Source organism: Homo sapiens, chromosome 21 (genome assembly GCF_000001405.40).
Source record: "Homo sapiens chromosome 21, GRCh38.p14 Primary Assembly".
In the NCBI taxonomy this organism is placed as follows: domain Eukaryota; kingdom Metazoa; phylum Chordata; class Mammalia; order Primates; family Hominidae; genus Homo; species Homo sapiens.
The window spans coordinates 15,263,038-15,284,786 of record NC_000021.9 but is presented as its reverse complement, the minus strand read 5'-3'; the positions used below and the strand labels follow the sequence as shown (position 1 = coordinate 15,284,786).

At 37.6% G+C, this 21,749-nt stretch overlaps 1 long non-coding RNA gene across 1 annotated transcript; it reads left to right on the top strand.

The window, feature by feature from the left end:
- The first annotated feature begins 1,059 nt into the window (after positions 1-1,059).
- On the top strand, positions 1,060-21,366 carry LOC105369292 (uncharacterized). Its single transcript, XR_937592.2, has 4 exons — positions 1,060-1,434; positions 4,040-4,292; positions 8,908-9,067; positions 21,121-21,366. It is a non-coding gene; the product is annotated as an uncharacterized LOC105369292 (long non-coding RNA).
- The last annotated feature ends 383 nt before the right edge of the window (positions 21,367-21,749 follow it).

Here is a 21,749-nt window from a genome sequence, read left to right as displayed (position 1 = left end):
AATCATACTGGAAAAAACTAAAATATTTAGGTCCAACATTACTTTGTTAAGTTTCTTGTTAAGTGATACAGTTTTGCTGTGTCCCCACCCAAATCTCACCTTGAACTTAATAATCCCCACATGTCAAGGGTGGGGCCAGGTAGAGATAATTGAATCATGGGGGCAGTTTCTTCCATACTCTTCTTGTGGTAGTAAATAAGTCTCATGATATCTGATGGTTTTATAAAGGAGAGCTCCTCTGCACAAGCTTTCTCTTGCCTGCTACCATGTAAGACATGACTTTGCTTTTCATTCGCCTTCCACCATGATTGTGAGGCCTCCCCAACCATATGGAACTGTGAATCAATTAAACCTCTTTCCTTTACAAATTACCCACTCTTTGGTATGTCTTTATTAGCAGTGTGAGAACAGACTAATACAGTACAGTCATTGACATTGCTGAAACCAAGGAACATTGGAATGGAAAGCACTTACTATGTGCATTCTGCGGTGGATAATGCTTATTAAGAGCACATTCTCTCTTAAATCAATATAGCAATGATTGGAAGCAAATCATGATTTGTTACTGCAGAGTGCACATAGTAAGTGCTTCCCCAAAGTGTGTGTGCTTAAGTTGCATGCATACACGGGTGTGTGTGTACTCACAGGCACATACACACACATACCCTGCAGTGTTCAGACAAAGCTGTGGCTGCTGAACACCTGCATTGCTTCAGCATTTCATTACTCTATTGAAGTAAAACACCTGTCTACACACTTTGGACTTCTGTCACTTTTATATGTACCACTGTTTATTAATAGCCACTTTGTGAGTCGTTTTCCAGCCTTCTGGGGCTGCTTTTAGAATTGCAGACATACTCAGAAGAAGGGAATTCAAGGTCAGCAGTCAGTGTTAAGCAAGTCCTATATTTATAAAATTTTTAGAAATGAATAACTTATCATTCTTCATCTCCATCCTTGCTGGGCTCAGGACCAGCCACTATTTTCACCAAATCTTTTTTTAACACAGGGATGAACATCTAGTGGGCATCTGTGGTTCAAGCTCACTCAAGGTTTGTCACTCTGGTGATTGGCTAAGGAATAACAGTATGGAGTCAGCTCTGCCTTCTCTTCCTGCCAATCTGGCTCACCTCAGGACCAGGTGCAAATTTCACGGGAGCATCTAGCCTCTGAAAAACTCTTCATAGTCGCTGCCATTCTTTCCAGGAAAGAGAAGAATGTGCAGTGATGGACGACGTGTATTTTTGTTGGTGTATTTCTGCATATGTGTTTTGTTTACTCTCTTTTTTTTCCTTTTTTCTTTTTTTAATTTGCTTTTCACCAAACTGGAGTGAGGGCTTGTGCTAGGTTTTGGACTCTGATCTGCCTTTGAAGACTCTTCCAAATGCAAAGACTTCATGTTCCTTGTTTATTATGGAAAAATAAACAATGAAGGTTTGTATAATATTGAGTATGTAGTCAATGTATAATATGGGTAAACAAAAAATGTATGCACAGAATTATGAACAAAGTCATAAAAAATCAACAATTAAAATAAAAGCTATAAAATGAATGTATTTGGTCACATGTGAAAGCCTTCCCAGGAAATGATTAAAGCAAATAATGGGAATTCCTTAAATTTCATCAGGAAACCAGGTACTTCCCTGGAATCTCATTAAAAAGACATAAATTTAAAATGTAACTAATATCTGACAAAGAATAATGAAATAATACATATTACCATGTATATGGTACAGAGTGGACACTTCATAAATATTTCTTTATCACTCAAATAATTGTACAATCTATTTTTATAACAAATATTAGTAGGATTTGTGAAGAATAAAGAAAGAAGAATGGAAAGTTGCCTGTGGATTATCAGAACTGTCCAGTGGTAATTCCTGGCTGCCCAATTTAATCATTCTATTTATTTTGGCAGGCACCTACTTACATGAGGGTTGTGGCAACAGGCTAGGTAATGCAACATTAACCATAAAGAACATTTAACTTTCTCTGCTATAACTCAACACCCGTCATGAATGTTTAGATCTTTATTTGGCTTCTGAAGCTGATTCTTTCAGAAGAACAAAACTGCCTTTGGCAATCAAAAGAAATATTCTAATTTACTTAGTGATAATATTTCCAAGTATTAATTAATACATTGTAATTCTCTTTTAAAAATAAATTTCTGACAGGTGTTGTTACAATGAGAATCTATCCCTCAAAATCTGATCACGAGATCTGTGATTTCTAAATTGATGGAATCAAGATATTTCCACTCCTCTCCTCTCAAAATCCAACCCCCTAAAATTCAGGAAAATAGAATAAAAACAAATAAACAAAAAAATTGAATATATTCATTAAAAATTAATAGATATCTATAGTCCCAGGCCACAGAATTTGAAGACTAAAGTCAATGTAAGAATAATAAATAGTTTAGAAGAGTGGAGGAGAATAAGCTCTTGCAGATGGATATACATAGTTGGCCCCTAAAAGTTATAAAAGACTCAGGAATTGGAATTACGCAGAATAATTTGAAGGAATTAGGGAGAGGACTTGAGAAACTGCTAGGGAGCAATTAGCCTCAAATTTCTGGTTCCCACCCACTCTGAGCACCTTCAGATGACTGCCCCACTAGGGAGCAGTTAGCTTCAGATTCCTGGTTCCTGTCCACTCTGAGCACCTTCAGATGACTGCCCCACTTTTACTACACCTGCGAGCATGAGGCATCAAAGACAGCAAAGTAGCATATTGAAAAAAAAAAAGGAATTAATCTAACTGAACTGTGGACCCTGAGCCTTTCTTTTCCACCAAATTCTAGAATGCTGGTAGCCAAGCTAATAACCCCCAGGTGTGTGTAAGAGAGAATGTACTGCCTCCGAGAAAACTCCTGTGGGAATACAGGCATTTGGAGATTTCACAACATAGAAGCTAACTGGCCAGTTGTGGGAACCTCAGGAGGTTTAGCAGTGCAAAACTGCAGCCTACACCCATAGAACTTTCCATTTACTTCTGAACGCATTGATATTAATTAGTAAAGAACAAAAACATCATAGAAAACATCTAAAATTAAAATGAGAAAAGAACTATAGTGAATTCAGGGAGCAAACAAACAAAAAACAAAACAAAAAAACACTGTAATTTGTATCCCTGGAGAGGTAAGAGAGGTATTGAACCCACAGAACAACATGAAAATGCATAAAAAGGAACACTCATGAAACAAGAAATAGATATTTAGAAAATAAAAATTTAACAAAAGAATCGGAAGATCAAAAACATAAAGCGATAACCAATAGGAGGGAAAAGAGTAAAGAAAATATTAAGCAAAAAGGCCCAACATCTGACTAACAGGAGTTCCATAGAGAAAATCAGATAATTCCTCACTCTGAAGGATGTAAGTCTCCAGATGGTAAAGACTTACTACCAAGTGCCTAAAGCTATAAATGGAAAAAAAGAAAAGAAAAAGCAGGAATAAAGAGGAAACCTTCCAGGGAGAAAAAGGGGATACATTAAAAGATAAGGACTAAAAATTGCTTTTGCTTTTTAATAGCAACATAGAAAGCTAGAGGACGGTAGTGAGACAGCCAAGTATAAAGGGCTCCCCGGAAAACCTCCGACTGGCCAGTGCGCTGGGAGAATGCTGTGGAGCCATGGGAAGTTTGTGCCCTTTCCAGTGGGGAGGAGCCTGGCTTCTCCTGTCCCAGGGTGATAACTAGGGTTTCAATCTGTGAGGCAAGAAACCCACACTCAGGACTCTTGCTTTGCTGAGGGTCCCTATTTCCCTTTTTTACCTTTCACCCAATGAAACCTGCTCTTCTCACCCTTCAAAGTATCTGCCAGCCTAATCTTTCATGGTCATGTGACAAGATCCCAGCTTTTAGCTGAACTAAGGAGGAAGTCCTACAACAGTAGCACAATCCATTTCAGATTCTTGATGTAAATGATATCCATTCTAGTAGTTCACGTCCAATGACACAATCAGCCTTACATGAAAATGAAATAAGGATATTTTATGAAATGTTGTCTTAAAAAAATTACCTTTGATCTCTATTTCTCCAAGAACTAGTGGATGCTCTACCCATAATGGAATAAACCAAGAAGGAGCAAGACTAAAGATCAGAAAGCAGGTAATCCAAATCGAGAGAGACAAAAGAAATGACCAGGAGGTACAGAGGGTCCAAGATTATAGTTGAGAAGAAGCTTTCAAACAGAGGAGAGCCATTTCAGATTGGACAAAAGCACCCCCTGCCCCCACCACCGGAAGGATGCTTCCAGGGGAAAGACAGATGAAGAAGAAATGGAGAGATTACCAGGTAGATTTCACTGTATCGGAATTTGAATGAAACAAGATTTTATACAGCTGTTGGAAGGTGTATGATGACTTAACCATAATTTCAAAGCAAACCAAGAAAACTAGAAGAAAAAGTTTCAGTTCTTAACCCAGGAAAAGATACTATAATAATATACTATAAATATAGTGTGCCACCTGGGTTCACTTTGAATAGCATTTACATTAGTCATAATAATTATAATACTGACTATGGATTTTTCACCACACTGTGATAGGGTTGGATAATGTTTAAAATTAATAACCAAAATAAAGCAATGCTATATAGGACTTGAAAATAAGGAGGCAAGTACCAGAAAAGCTAAGAAAGATGACATTTCTCATCTCCAAAGAAAGATCATATTGGTGAGGAGGATAGTTGTGGGCTGGAAGGTAAGGGGGAAGGGGAACACTGTTATAAGCCTTTTAGCAGTGGTTTACTTTTGAACAAATATGATAAAAACATTAAATTTTTTAAAAAGTTTATGATCTTGGTTTTCAAAATCTAATAAAAACTAATTTCCAAACATGCAGTCAATAACTAGACTCCGAACCCCACCAAAACACAGCTGTTACAGGAAATACTGCTTGAAACAGCCCACTAACTTCTCCTTCATTTATTAGAATTGTTGTTGTTGTTAGGCATTCACCATGTCATTGAGGGCTAGGCAGGGAATGAACCAGAAAATGTCCTTGCCCTCATGCAATTTGTATCTTGTCTATAACAGATTAGATATAAAACATCAGTTCCAATTTAAGGGGGTAAAAGCAGAGAGAGAGAGAGAGAACATTGCTTGAAGGTGAGTCAGGAGTTGATGGTATAGATGAGTTGGTTGCAAAATACTTTTTAAGACCCAAATAATTCCTTAAAGTTGAACACATTTCTGAAATGAGTAATATAGAAATATCCAAGTTTTTATATCAATTCCATGGTAACTGCACTAGGGAAGAAAATAACTCAAGCTACTGTTTCTAAAAATCGGCTATGGAATTCAAACACTCTTCTGTCGAACATTATGGGACAACATGACCCTAACTCTAATTGAATTTTCTTTTGGGAGAAAAGAGACAACAGCCCAAAGTACTAATTTATCAATATATTAAGGCTGTTGTTTTTTAAAGCCTATGCCAAAATTATATTTAATATTATACCCTTCTTATATAAACAAGGTGAATTAAAATTCACTGTACACACCCACAAAGAGCAAGAGCTATTATCAGAGCTTGCTCTGCTTCCAAGCTCTCTGTCTGCTGAAAACATCTGAGCTTTAACCAACAATAAAATCTTACATTACCACTCATTGGTGCACACTACGCAGCAGTGATGGTGTGCTGAGGTTGTTATTGAAAAATGTTCATTTCACTTATTCATTCATTTAACAGTTGAGTGCCGCCAGGCATGGTGGCTCATGTCTGTAATCTTAGCACTTTGGGAGGCCGAGGAGGAAGGATCACTTGAGCTCAGGATTTCAAGACCAGCCTGAGGCAACATACTGAGACCTCATCCTTATTTTTTTTTTAAATAAAAAAACAGTTGAGTGCTATCAGTAACTGTTCACAAGCTTGGAGACAGTGGGTGACTAGGAAAACGTCCTTGTTCTTAGCCAACTCACCTTGAAAGAGGAGGAAACAAATTATAAACAAGTCATTGAGTAAATACTCCAAAAATCTTCAGGTAGAGAAAACCACTATACGTAAAATACAACACAGAGAATGAAAATGTTAACTTAAATGAAGTGCATCAAGAAAAAACCAAGAGCAATAAGTCACCCGGTAATGTCATTTGACCTGGCAACACCTCTGGTCCCATGATCCTGGCTGGAGAATGTCCTTTTGTTTTTTTCACCTAGTTAGTAATTTGACAAATCATCATTTTATCCCCAAGGTCCAACATCGAAAGCATTTCTTGGCCTGTCTTTTGGGCTTTCGCCTCCAAAAGCCTGCACTGCCGACTCTCAATTTTGCTTTCATTCCGATCTTATGTTTGCCACATTCTTCACCTACAAAGCGACCTCCTGATTTTTGACTCAGCTCACATGTGATTTGATTCTTGCAAAACCCTTTTGGAACTCAACTGTCTAAAGACCTAGAAATGTGTTTCTGTAGGACTGCAAAAAATTGCACTATGAATGGCAGCCTAATAGTTCTCTTAATGCAGAGCAGGGAAGTGTTTCTTTCTTCTACTGCCTCTCTTTGCTGGTACAGAAGACTCACGAAATCTCAACATGGTGTTTGGCCCTTTCCCACATGCGGTATGAAAAGACTTTAATTATTATTGAACTTTAGTCCCCAAGGGACTTGAAAGCATTTGAAAATTCATTTTACTAGCAAAATAAATCTTTTTGTATTCTTTTGGGTTTTATAACATTGATGTTAGATTTAATTAAAAGTGAAGAAATCCTAAAAATGATTCTAGCTAGTGGTTAATTTTATGTTTTTATACAATTACTATAACCTAATAGGTAGCTAGTTTTCTAAAATGTTAGATAACTAACATTTTAAGGCTGCAGCATAACTAATTTTCTGCACAGAAGATGCTAAATGCAAAGGCAAATGAGTGGAATCTTCAGAGCTTTATAAGCTTCCTACACACACAAGCCACTACGAATGCCCAGGCAGTGGCTAAGTGTTGCTCCTGGGCATGTCATCTGCTAATGGGCTTCCTAACCCTAAATTCTTCTCTGTGGTTCCACAGAGAAAATACTCATGATCTCATCTAGGTCTCCCTGTTGTGTCTTTGCCACAAAGTATATTTCCCCATATGGGGTTCTTTTCAAAATGCAAGCCACTACACACTTTCTTTTTACAAGTTGGATCCCAGGTCTATAACACTGTCTCCTGCTGTGTTGAACATATGTTCAGAGTCTTTCTACTTATTTTTCTTTCCCCACTTGCTTTCCCACTGGTTATTTCCCATACCAAATTGCTTGACAAAATGAAGTTAGTAACATTAGCTTGCATGTTTTTGTGAGCCAGGTCTTTTACATCCTAAAATATCCCATAACACAGAGAATAGCATGCTATGCATCTTATGCTTCAACAAATATCTGTTGAAAGAATAAATGGATGGCTCCTTTTTGTAACTTCTGTAAGTGACATTCAACCGATGTGACATTCTCTTTATTAAATAAATGTTTACACTCCATCAACTTATTACATATACTGATTAACAGAAGTGGGGCTTGGGAGTGACTCAATTAGCTAACCAGTTGTCCATAAGGATTGGAAAGGGAAACCAAAATAAGCCTGGAGACAAGTCATTTTCAATAAAGATGTCTTGAATGGAGATAAACTGGACTGATTTTACATCACAAAAAAATAGCAAAAAGTGCTTTAAGCAGGACAGGAAGTACAAGAATGGCAAATGAATGTATTGGCTTTTAAAAAATAAATAAATAAATTCAAGTCATCAAAAAGTTGTTCAGTAGTATGGTGAATCAGTTATTCAGCTGCAAAGGCACAGTTGAGGGAGAAGATAGATAGCATTGAAGGAGTTATTATTCAGAAAAAGATAATGTTTTTCACAAAAAACCTCCTTAAATAGAAAATAGTCATTATGAACATAATACTCTAATTTATGATATCAAAGATGAAGAGCAGTCAATATTTTCCATAATGTATTAAGGATGGGAAGGTTCTAAGCGCCCTTTGACCCATACCTGTGTCTCTCTCTGAAAAGCAAGACACAGAGAATCTTCCCTCTAAGCTTTCCTTTACAATTCATGAACATAAAATATTAGGTTCGATGCAAATTTATTAGGTTTACCAAATCAATTTTTTTTCCTAATATGTGCATAAAATACTTAATTAGAAAAAAATTGTAAAACATTCTTAAAATTAATATCATTAGAATGAATTTACACACTGAATATCCAGACCTGACCATGGGATGTCAACCAGGAAGTCCAAAGGTGAGCCTCAGTGCCCTTCCTTCATTGCCTGGTGATGGACAAGCTATCTTGGAATCCCGCATTTACTCCAGCTGCATTTCAAAACCAAATTCCCACAGGATGGGTGGCTCCCAGGAGAAGATGTTGCAATCTCCCATGGGCTCACTAGGTCTCCAGGAGCTGAGCTGTGACAGCTGGCACCTAACCTATTAGTAACTGAGTCCAAAACATCAAGCCCTCCACCTGAAGGGAAATTTGCATATCATACACTTACTCAAACATCGTTTGTTATTCCAGCCATGAACTCTGATCAGTTTTCTATAAAGGCAATCTGACAATACCTCCCCTCAGGCATTGGATAAGAACCCCTCGATCCTGTGCTAGGACGCCTCTCACACAAAGAGAAGACTGATAGAAATTGCAGAGTAAATTAATGCCCCCTGGGACAATTTTTGGCCATTGAGAGACAGATGCCAATGGGTGAATATTTCCCCTTTTTTTCCCTTTGAGCTGATGATCCCAAGACATGTGTCATACCACTCAGGCTGTTCCACAGTGTTGAGCAACTTGTCAGCCAACTTGTCAGTGACTAAATGGATAACTTATACTGGGTCATTTGCTCTCTTTCTGTGTATTTCTTTGCCCATCTCTTGTTCTTGCCCCCGTGAAATCACACTCCCAAATACACTGCTCAAACATCTCTGCTTTCAGGAAAACTAAGGCTAACACAGTCACCGTTGGGCCATTCTCTGCTTACACTGTAAGAAGTGGAATTACCAGGGCACAAGCTGCACTGCTCATAGCTGGCATACTTCTCTATGGAATGCTGAGAAAAGGGAGATATGCATTGCTTCTTGCCAACCTTTGCAAGGTAATTTTATTTTGTAAGTTTCCCAAATAAAACCCATGCTCCGTGTTGTTGTATAATTTGCCCTGACCTTCCTCACAACCGTCACAATGACAGTTATAGGAAAATTTCAATACATCATTTTTATTTTTCCAAGACTGATAACTATAGTTGTAGAAGCCTTCAAAAAGGTGTTCCAATGAATGTAAATGGATGTGTATGTGAAAATGTATAGATTCGCAGACTCTTCTCAGGGTTGGTTGGTTTGAAAATTTCAACAATTAATAAGTTAAACTGGTAAAGTAGTTTGAGATAGCAGGTTCATTATTAAACCTTGAAATGTCTGTAAACCACATGTTATCTCTTGCTTCTTTAGTACACTTCACATATATCCTAAACTTACCAAATGTGACCATATATAAACTGCATAACACAATGTGAGACCCATGATAAGCCTTCGCTAAACTTTGGTTTCCTTCCCCTACTGCCACAGCAATTTATGTTTCCTTTTTCCAGCTCTATGAAAATGAACTGAAAAATAGAACTCCCTAAATATGACAAATGTTAAGAAGTTTGCGTTACATTTTTGGCAATGCTGTTAATGTCAGTGAGCTTCTCCAGAAACCTGTATTGATGTCGTTTTAATATTTGAAATTGCTCATTTGGCAAACATAAACAGTACCAATAGAGTTGATTCTATGGCCTTTTGCCTGGATAATGGATGTAGACCTAGGTAACTGAATTTTCTGGTTCTTCTGCTTTAGGCTCTTCAAATTCAGATGGCATGTCAGAAAAAAATGAAACTTTTAAGGTTCCTGCCATAGTATCTTCAAGAGCAGGAATGCCCTGGGCTCCCAATTCCTTAGAAATTGCTTGTAACGTTCTCCTTTTCTCCGACTAGTCACTCAACACCTAAGAACTGCCCTCTTCTGTCAAGATCTCCCAAGAGCCAGAGAAGGAATGTTGCTCTGAAGCTCTATACTTTGATGGTGCTTGAGTCTCTCTTCCCTTCTGCCTTTCCTTTCCTAGAGCCTAGAATTTATTTGTATACCTATAACTTGCCTATTTCCATATTCATATCCTTGACGATATGTGTGGCATCTCCATTTTTGTTTTTAATAAGGTTGATTCTCTCCTATGGCCTCTGGGATATAAAGAACCATGAAAAAGTCTTTTTGTTATTTCTTCTTAGATGGTAATTTCAAGTCTAAGGTGTTATCTACCAGTTGACATCTAGTATTCCTCTATAACCGACTTTTCTGTTTGAGGAAATATTTCAGGATTGAGTGACTTTCTGTAGGGGACTCACTGGTCTTCCACTCTTACCCATAATAGCAGCATATATTATCTCCTTCAATTCTTAAACCATTCTTTTATAATGACACCATTGTTAGCTCCTTGTCAGAAAAAAATGAGGTTATCAGTTAGAATGATGTCACTTAGAATATGCTTGTTTCTGAAGCCTGAATATTCACAGCAAGGTGGATTTTGGTTCCGTAGTAATGAACATTATCGCAGTACATGGCCAGAATGAGATCTCAGCATTGAACATACTTCTAAAATCCATATTCTTTGGGAAGTCTTTGTAACACCACAGAATATTACTCTACTAAATCAGCCTATTCTTTTCAGTGTATATAAATATTAGCTGCTTGTTGTATTTATTTTTCTGATGATATGTTTCATTATCTGAATTTCCCTGTGAATAATGTTGTTTAAGAAAAGGATACACCTGACAAATTTAAATATGTATAGCTTTCCATGTAGATCACAGTCTATTAAGTGAATTATTGATTTGGTGATTTTTGTTTAGTCTTAATGACACAATTTGTAATGTTAATACAAAATGGAACAATTTCTAAAAATTAAATTTTTAAAAGATCACATAAATTCTCAAAAATAATCATCCACTTGATTAATTTTAGGATTACTAAAGCTATTAATCAATAATTTATATAAAAAAGACATTGTGTACAAAAAACACAAATTCTTTTATCTCAAAATGAGTATCTCAAAATGCTTCATAGAAACAGAATTATTCAGGGGTGATAATTAAAAATCAATGCAGATTACTTGGTTCCATTTCACACCTTCTGATAAGAGTCCCTGGGGACTAGAAGTCAGGGATTTGCATTTTTAACAAACTTCCTGGTTGTTTCTTCAAGGTACTAAAGTGTGAGAGCCACGCACCTAAGAGCTAACGTAAGTTTAAAACTCTAATTTGGTGGTAGAAGGCTTTCAATTTGTTTTCCACACTAAATCTATTACACTGAGGTACTCCATAAAATAAGAATCAGCACTTTTTTTGCAGAGTAAGATGCCTTTTATTTGCTAAAGTAAATAATAGCAAAATTAAGCATGAGCTATAAATTGTACTAAATGCTGATAACTTGAAATCTCCAAAATGGAATAAATTACTGAGTATTGCACTTTAAATGGACATTAAGAATGTTCCAAATTAACAAGTGTGTTGTCATTTTGATAAATTGGTTTTAATTTTTTATCAGACTATATATAAGTACCCAGTAGTATGTGCCAGAGAGTTCCATTAGGCATTCACAATTGCATTTATTTTCTTCAATGTATAAACCGTATAAACTAAAGATAGTTTGAAGATCATGATACTCAACTCCATTGCACTTCTGGGAATAGTTTCCCCTGGGTTTGGGGCTGTGTTCTCTGTAAGAACCCCAGGAAAAAATATGAAAATATAAATTACAGTGTCTTTTTTCATTGATTTGATTTTGCAAACATTACTCATGAACCCAAAGAGAAAAATCAAAATTGCACCTGATTAAAATGAAAAAATATGATAGGTAAATGGAAAGAGATTTGGACTACTTTATGCAAAAGAGGAGAAAAATGTGTAATAAACTCAAGTCCTGGGCGTCTAAGGCAAGCATAAATAACTCCTTGGCACAGTGAGATAGATTCTCCCCGCATGTGGTTCATTGCCAGTAAAGGACATGCCTGAAACCACTGCCCAAGAAGAATTACAAGCATTTGCTCTTACTTTAAAATATTCATGTTTCAGCTGTAACACTTTATATTTTCAATTGACAGATATGGAAAAAAAATAAACTTATTTTTCTTTTTCCCCTTCCTGGCATAAGAATCTTACATAATTAACTCCTTCATTTAACAAATGTGATAGTTTTCACTGCAACTATGAATTTAGGGCACTTGATATTTTGAAATCAACACATCTTATGAGTTTTGTTGGTTTTTCCTCCAGAATTTGGAGAATGTATTTGCCCACTTAGGTCTGACTAATGCAGAATAATGCACTTTGATTAAAAAACAAACACATTTAAAACTATAGAAATAGTGGAGGGAATGACCCACCCAGGCATGCTCTCTCCCTAAGCTGGAAGTCAAAAATGCACAAAAACCGGCCAGGCTGGGTGGCTCACGCCTGTAATCCCAGCACTTTGGAATGCTGAGGTTGGTGGATCACCTGAGGTCAGGAGTTTGAGACGAGCCTGGCCAACACAGTGAAACCCTGTCTCTACTAAAAATACAGAAAGTAGCCAGACATGGTGGTAGGTGCATGTAATCTCAGCTACTCGGGAGGCTGAGGCATGAGAATCACTTGAACCCAGGAGGCAGAGGTTGCAGTGAGCCAAGATTGTGCCACTGCATTCCAGCCTGGGCGACAGAGTAAGACTCCATCTCAAATAATAATAATAATAATAATAATAATAATAATAATAATAATAACAACCAGTGGTCAGAGCTTTGAAGGCTTTATAGACCTGAAGAACAGTTGCTGACAATTACAGCCTGAAAACAAAGAATGAGATACAGATGGAAAATAAAGATGACAACATAGAAGTTATATGTACCTAAGCAAAAATCATTTTTAGTATTTTCTTTTTTCATTCCTCTGCCTGTTGAGCAGAATTTTGTTGCTTTTTTACATAAAAACTGGAATAGTGTCACAAGAGCCAGATTTAATGCACCTCTGATTCAACATCATGGAAGAAAAGGAAAAAAAGTTATGTATAGGGCTTTTCTGTTAGGTTATTAGTGTATCATTATTGATACTGGGTGCTTTGTGTATCAAGAACCAAAAAGCAAAAATTATTGTTTGCTGCATGAACCATATATTTGAAAAGTAGGCCTGTGCCTGGCAATCAAATATTGCCCTTGAAATAGGTATATAAGGATAATACTCCACTGTTTTTTTGATAAGGCTGTCTTATTCTACCAATTCATTCCTTTCATATTATGCTGCAGATCAATCAATGGACACTGTATTAATCCATTTTCACACTCCTGATAAAAACACACCCAAAACTGGGAATGAAAAGAGGTTTAATTGGACCTACAGTTCCACATGGCTGGGAAGGCCTCAGAATCATGGCGGGAGGTGAAAGGCACATCTTACATGGCAGGGGCAAGAGAAAAAAATGATGGAGAAGCAAAAGGGGAACCCCCTGATAAGCCTGTCAGATCTCATGAGACTTACTCACTATCATGAGAATAGCACAGGAAAGACCGGCCCCCGTGATTTAATTACATTTCCCTGGGTCTCTCCCACAACACCTTGGAATTGTGGGAGATACAATTCAGGCTGAGATTTGGGTGGGGACACAGCCAAAGCATATCAAACACCATTTACCTGAATGTCCCTAAAAACACTTACCTTCCCTATCACCACCAAATATCATATAAAACAATCCAATAGTAGATACACAATAATTTTCTGTTTATGTCCCAGAAGCTGACACAGCACCTTACAGGTGACAAGTACTCACCATATGCAGGTTGAATTGAAATTAAATATCCCTTTTCTGCAGAAATCTGCCATATTAATTTTCATCACTTTACCCATAGAACAAGTTCTTTTTTTGTTTGTTTGTTTGAGAGGGAGTCTTGCTCTGTCACCCAGGACGGAGTGCAGTGGTGCAATCTCAGCTCACCGCAACCTCTGTCTCCTGGGTTCAAGCGATTCTCTGCCTCAGCCTCCTGAGTAGCTGGGACTATAGGTGCCCGCTATCATGTCCGGACAATTTGTGTGTGTGTGTTTTTTAGTAGAGACGGGGTTTCACCATCTTAGCCAGGCTGGTCTCAAACTCCTGACTGCAGGTGATCTGGCGTGCACTGGCTTCCCAAAATGCTGGGATTACAGGCATGAGCCACAGTGCCCAGCCAGAACAAGTTCTTTATTAGGCAGGGTTTATGATTTTATTATAGCCTTAACAAAACTTGTACTTATTACAGATATTTTGTCACCAAATATACTTAAAATGTAATCTATTTTTAAAAACACATTCAGGGCATGTTGAATTTTTCTTCTAAACTTACATGGTTACTACCTCCTTAAAATACAGTACCACATGATTTAAATTCAAAATGTGGTATTGGTCATTTAAAGTAAACAACTCAGTAATAATGATCTATGACATTTCAGTAGAACTTGACAGTTTTCAAGGCTTCAGGAGGATGACTTCCTTTGATGTTCATAACGACCACTTATAACATAAACAACACTATCATCTCCATTTAAAGACAAAATTGCCAGCCACGTAGTGAAATGGCACACTATGAAGGCAACATAGTGAGACCCAGTCTCTAAAAAAAGATTAAAAAATAAGCAAGGCATGGTGGCATATGCCTGTAGTTCCAGCTATGTAGGAGGCTGAGGTGGAAGGATTGCTTGAGCCTGAGAGTTCAAGGCTGCTGTGAGCTGTGATCACACCACTGCACTTCAGCCTGGGCAACAGAGTAAGACCGTGTCTCAGAAAAAAATAAAAGAAGAAGAAGAAGGAGAAGAAGGAGGAGGAGGAGGAGAAGGAGGAGAAGAAGAAGAAATGGAATATTCTAGTGGTCTATAGAGTAATTATACATTAATCTGCCTATGGAAACTGAAAGGAAAATTTACACTGTAAAAATTATTTTAAGAGTTATGCTGAATTCATCTCTATTTTAACTAAATGTGACACTCCATTCTTTGAAAGAACTTCATACTATAATATTTTTGTTTGTTTGAAGAGAGGAAAGGGTCCCTGCTGCAAACATTTGGAAACAATGGGAGTGGTCTAGGTGTCCACTTCTTTACTTCACCACTTACAAATAATTTGGCTAAGTTCATCTTTGAATATAGGCATAATAATGTGACATTTTTACTGATGAGAGTTCTAGTAACAGTTAACTCAAGTTTTCTCCTACAGAAGAGTCACAAACACTGGGGATTCATAATATATTTTTTAAGGAGGGGAGAGATATGAGTTCTGTGACAAGTTTTTAGTTTAAGATTTCCACTTCAATGACTATCTTTAAAAATCATTTTTCATGTTATAAATATACAACACCTTGTTTGACAAGAGAATTTACAGTTTAAAGCTTCTGTCTCAGTCAGCTCAGGCTGCCTTAAGAAAACACCATAGATCGGATGGCTTCAACAACCAAAATTTATTTTCTCATAGTTCTCGAGGCTAGAAGTCAAGATCAAAGTTCTGGCCAATTCAATTTCTGATGAGGGCTCCTTTCCTAGCTTGCAGATAGCTGCCTTCTCATTGAGTTATCAAAAGGCCTATCCTCAGTGAGTGCATAGGGCAGAGAGAAAGAGAGCTATCATCTTTTCTTTTTTTTTCTTTTTTTTGAGATGGAATCTCGCTTTGTCGCCCAGGCTGTAGTGCCATGGCACAATCTCAGCTCACTGCAACCTCTGCCTCCAGGGTCCAAGTGATTCTCCTGCCTCAGTCTCCTGAGTAGCTGCGATTACAGGTGCCCACCACCATGCCCAGCTAATTTTTGTATTTTTGGTACAGACGGGGTTTCGCCATGTTGGTCATGCTGGTCTCAAAATCCCGATCTCAGGTGATCCGCCCACCTTGGCCTCCCAAAGTGCTGGAATTATAGGCGTGAGCCACCATGCCCAGCCTCTAGCATCTCTTCTTATAAGGACAGTAATTCTATTAGATCAGGGACCCACTCTTTTTCACTTTAATTACTTCCTTAGAGGCTCCCATCTCCAAATACAGCCACACTGTGGATTAAGGCTTGGTTAAGGCTTCAACATAGGAATTTTGCAGGGGGCATAAACATTCATTTATGAATTCACTTTAAGAAGTCATAGTTTTTCAAAATGGAGATTCTCACACAATTTTTTCCTCTTAATACCATTGTTTATTATTTAAAAGCTGGAGAAAACTGGATAATTATGTTGAGGACTTCAAGGTGTGAACTATAGCATAGTAGTTAAGAGTATCAGTACTTTGAGTCTGCCTACCTACTTTTGAATCCTAGCTCTGACCCTTCCCATGTGTTGTGGGCAATTAACTTAATTGTCTTTCCTCAGTTCCCTCATCAATCAAATAAGAATAATAGAAATAACGTACATTAAGATTATTGTAAGGATTAAATAAAATAATCCTTAAAAGGATTTAACAAAGTATCTTGGAATATCATAAGCACATGATGCACATTATTAATAATATTATTATCAAAAAGATACTTATATTTATCCTTAAAGCACAGCACCATATTTGTAGTAGACAGGCATGGTCACTCAATGGGTCAGATTTTTGTTTTTATATTTTCCGTAGCTGACATGTTCACTCTCCATTGGAAGTCACTCTCCATTGACTCCACTGATAGGCTGGTTCTCTTAAACGGTGGCTCCTCTTGAAGATGAAGGTGTTCCTTATCTATATAAATATATTTTGTCTCGACACTCTTTTGGTTTTGATATCTGGTTTTTCAGACAAATTCATATTAAGGTGATCGGACATTTTTCCAAGAACTTATGGAATGACTTGAAAAGGTTCCAGTTTATGACTAAGGAGCAAAAGTTGGTTGTAACCCATGAAAACCACACTGGCTTTGGCATTGTGTAAAGTAGTCTTACTAATTTGAGGGTCTTTGTGCAATGCTGTACACATTCAGTAAGAACGTTAGAACACTGGACACTTTGAAAGATTATCGAGCATGTTTCTCCCAATTTAAAGGTGAGAATGATTTTAGTATAGTAACAATAGCGTAGTCGAAATGTTCTTGCCAGTGCTTTGTTTAGCCAGTGGGTATGCTTAGCAAGTCACAACCTGGATGTCTAATTCTTTGACTTTTGGATCTCCTTTCTCTAAACAAAGATCTAACTATTTATCCTAGAGTTTCTTTCTTCTGTTTCCTACCTAACTCTAGCCTATGAAGAAAAATAGGCCAGATCTGATAGGACAGCTTTGAGGTACCAGTATAAGAGTCCAGTGGGTATATGGGGTATATGACGCTTATGCAATGTTGAATTTTATCATCCCTCTATGATGCTGCCACTGGATAGAAAATAAAAAGATGGGCGATTTTTTCCTTCAGACACTTCTTCACATCCAACGTTCATGGCCATCTTTTTTTTTTTCTTTTTTTTGAGATGGAGTCTTGCTCTATCACCCAGGCTGGAGTGCAGTGGCGCGATCTCGGCTCACTGCAAGCTCCGCCTCCCGGGTTCACGCCATTCTCCTGCCTCCGCCTCCCGAGTAGCTGGAACTACAGGCGCCCGCCACCACGCCCGGCTAATTTTTTGTATTTTTAGTAGAAGTGGGGTTTCACCGTGTTAGCCAGGATGGTCTCAATCTCCTGACCTCGTGATCCGCCCACCTCGGCCTCCCAAAGTGCTGGGATTACAGGCATGAGCCACCGCGCCGGGCCTGTTTTTTGTATTTTTTTAGTAGAGACGGCTATCTTTTTTTTTTTTCTAACACTTTCTTCAATTTTTACATGGAGTCTTAGAGGAAATGTTCTCAGTGATTTCTCCTCTGGCAAGGTTTCCCTCCCAGATTGCTTGATTCACTGCAGTATGCCATGCACATGTGAAGTGTAATATACACACTAGGTACCTATCAGAAAGAATGTAGACCGGAGACCAACAAGAATGGAGAAGCATCTTAAGCATATCTAGTTATTTTCTAGTCTCAGGTAAATGATGAGTTACTGGTATTTAAAATTGGAGGGACTTCTTCACCCATCTAATATTTGAATTTTCTTTAATTTTGTGGAAATTTATCTGTTAGGTTTTCACAATCTGAATAAATCAAGGAAATCCATCATAAACCTTCTCTTCTATTTCTTTTTGTGAGCTTCCTTTCTGTTGTCCTCTTCTTCTTTCTGTTGGGCTTGTTCTCTTGCTTCTTAAAGAGTTCCCAATCTATCTAGCATCTTGCTCTATAGAATACTGCTGAATGCCAAAGGCCTGGGTCTCAGTTTCTCCTCCATCTTTTACTGGTATATGATCTTGGCAAATCATTCACTATCATTAGACTTTGGTTGTTTCATTCATAAAAGGAGAACACTTTATTTGCCAAAAGATAGCACCAAATTAATTTCTGACCTCTCTTTAAGATATTTAAGTGATCTTTTGGCACACAGTGACTCTACCTTCAGGCATCTTTGCCTTGATGGATTTTTCCACTCTTTATTTGCATCATCTACATCTCCAAAGCATTCAGTGAACTAATTCAACAAAATTGTACTGAACACCTATATAAAAAACAAGGTCTTTTAAAAGATATGAGAAATTTTTCTTCTCCTCAGAAGCATGCACTCTACTTGAAGAAAAACTATAAAACTTTTGGAAAAAAACACACACACACACACATCTGAAGCAAGTGACATGTGATTTGTCCCAATTGGTGATATAGCAATAGGTGTCTTAAGACTTCAGAGAACTTGGCTGATAACAGAAGTCTTCCAGAAGGTGGGATATGAGTTAGGAATATAAAGTGTAGAATGACCTAGAGAAATGGACAAAAACTATGAGTGTATGCCTGAGCTAGGCAAAGAACCTCAACAAAGTCAGAAGCCAAAAGGTAAGATTTCTTTACTAGTTTGACTGGAGTGCTGCTGTTGTAGGAAACTGATGGAGATGCAGTGTGGGATAGGTTAGACCTGAGTCATTCACTGTGGTAGCTACTAGCCACATGTGGCTATGTAAATTTAAATATTAATTAATTAAAAATAAATCAAATTTAAAATTTAGCTTCTGAGTCACACTAGCCACATTTCAAGTGATCAATAGCTATGTGTGACTAGTGGCTACTGCATTAGACAGTGCAGCTATAGAATATTACCAACACCACAGAATGTTCTACTGGACAGTGTCATATTGGACTTGTAAAACACCTAACAGCCTAGACTTTTATTTGTGCACAGATAACTTTTCTTCCCAATGAATAGTGATAGCTTTTCACCATGAGAAGAACTCCCTCATTGTATCTGTAAGGCTCTGCTAAGGAATTTTCCAGCTGCTGTTAGGGGTCCCACACCTGTACTTATAAAAGGCTCCTTTTGAGGTATCTGCCTTACACGTACACTTTCTTTGAAAAATCTCTCTTTATGTTCCCAAGATAGTGGGTTGAAGACATGTTTGTCTTACAGGATCTTTTCTATCTACCCTTCTATTGCTTTTTGGCATCGGAATGGATATCTGGCCCTTGGCCCATCGGATTGACTCTCCTGGGGATTTGGCATTGGGACAATTAGATATGTAGCTGGGAGCTCTAGATCTGAGACTGTGTAGCTGTTAATCTGGACCTCCGATTCCCAATTTGTACAAGGATAAAAATGGAAGATAGCAAATAGCAGCACTTCTTAAGCTGAGCCCAGGTATTCCTGATCTGGGACAGAATTCAGAGGGCCCATGAACTTGGGAGGGAAAAATAATTACTTTTGGCCAACCACCTACTACATTATGAATCTAGATAAAACTACAGGACTACTGTCAATACCAATTATTTTACTTCCAGTAGAAATTACAGATATTTTCTGTAACAACCTTCAAAATACTATTTAAACCCATCCCCACTTTGAAATTATAATGGTTATTAGACATACCGCTGAGATCTTTTTATTTATTATGTTGCAAAGGAGCATGTAAATGAACACATCATAAAATTTTTATTTTATAATTGTATTTTGATATATTTTGTTTTCCTTTTATAATTCTACAGAATGTATTGTGTTCGTTGAAAGCATTTTCTGAGAAGGGTTTCATAGATTTCATCAAAAAGCCAAGGGCAGTCATAGCACAAAAATGGTTAGTAGCCCTTAGTTCATGGAGAGAGGAAAGATGAGGAAGCTATTAGAAAGGAGTAGAGATGAGAGCCCATTCATCTCTGGAGAAATTTTGATGAATTTCTACTTTCAATTTTCAATGCAGTCTTCATCTTGCTTTTGCTGGGCTGGGTCCAACCATAAGCTGCCTTTATACCGGCAGTGTCAGCTCACATCATAATTACCCCAGTTGTTTCATTGTTGTCCAATGAACATGTTTATCAAGCAAGAGAGATGAATCCGTTGATGTGAAACCAGGTGCAGATTAGACTTCCAAGCCATTACAGCTTTTCCAGGACTAAATAGTAAATCATCAATTCTCAAGTAACCCCAACTCCTTTTAGACCAGTTTCTTGCACTATAAAAACAACTCCCTAGAGAAAATAAATGCACCAGAGTAGGCTGACAGCCAAGATCCATTATGTTTGCTGAATGCAGAGCTGGTTCAAGCTTCCCCAGTTTTTTTTTTTTTTGTACCAAACTAGCTTATAGAAGTTGATTGAATTTTATAGACTTCCTTCCTTGTTTTATATACATCATTATCCTCTGTCCTTTTACAACATAACCATTGAATTCTCTCTTCAGATTAGTATAGAATCTTATCCCCATTTTCTGCCAACAAAAACTGCTTGGTATACTTCTCTATTCACAAATACTCACGCAAGTTTTTATTTCTCATTTAAAATACCCAGTCATCAATTGCCTACTACCTAGACTCTAGTCTTGTAGGCATTTGGATTTACAATTGAGTCAAAGTTCACTACCTAGATATTCTAACAAAAACCATCCTTGGAAAATCAGGAGAGAAGCAATGAGAAGGGGGTGGAGATAATGCAAATTTTCATTTTGACATATTTAAATATTTAATTCTACTTTCCAATATTGGGGCATACTTCTCAGAATGGTGTGCACTGGCCTAAATTCATCTGTCACACACGTTCTGTTTTAACTGGTACAGCAAGGTACGCCTTGAGCTGCCAGTACCTCCCATAATAAACACCTCTGCTTTCTTTTCATTCTTCTTACAGCAAACTGAGAAAACTACGGGAGGCCCTCTTTATTCAGGATTCAGCTTAATTTCTGTTGAGCCTGGAAAAGGGCTTGATCCCTGATGGCTTACACAAAGCATGGAGATGCACACTTGACTATACACAGCTGCAGTATCATTTGGGTTCACAAGCTTGTCTTCTACACAAGAAAATCTGCATCCTTCATACCATCATGTTAAGAAGTGTAATTTGTGTTCCGGCCAGGGCAATTAGGCAGGAGAAGGAAATAAAGGGTATTCAATTAGGAAAAGAGGAAGTCAAATTGTCCCTGTTTGCAGATGGCATGATTGTATATCTAGAAAACCCCATTGTCTCAGCCCAAAATCTCCTTAAGCTGATAAGCAACTTCAGCAAAGTCTCAGGATACAAAACCAATGTACAAAAATCACAAGCATTCTTATACACCAACAACAGACAAACAGAGAGCCAAATCATGAGTGAACTCCCATTCACAATTGCTTCAAAGAGAATAAAATACCTAGGAATCCAACTTACAAGGGATGTGAAGGACCTCTTCAAGGAGAACTACAAACCACTGCTCAATGAAATAAAAGAGGATACAAAGAAATGGAAAAACATTCCATGCTCATGGGTAGGAAGAATCAATA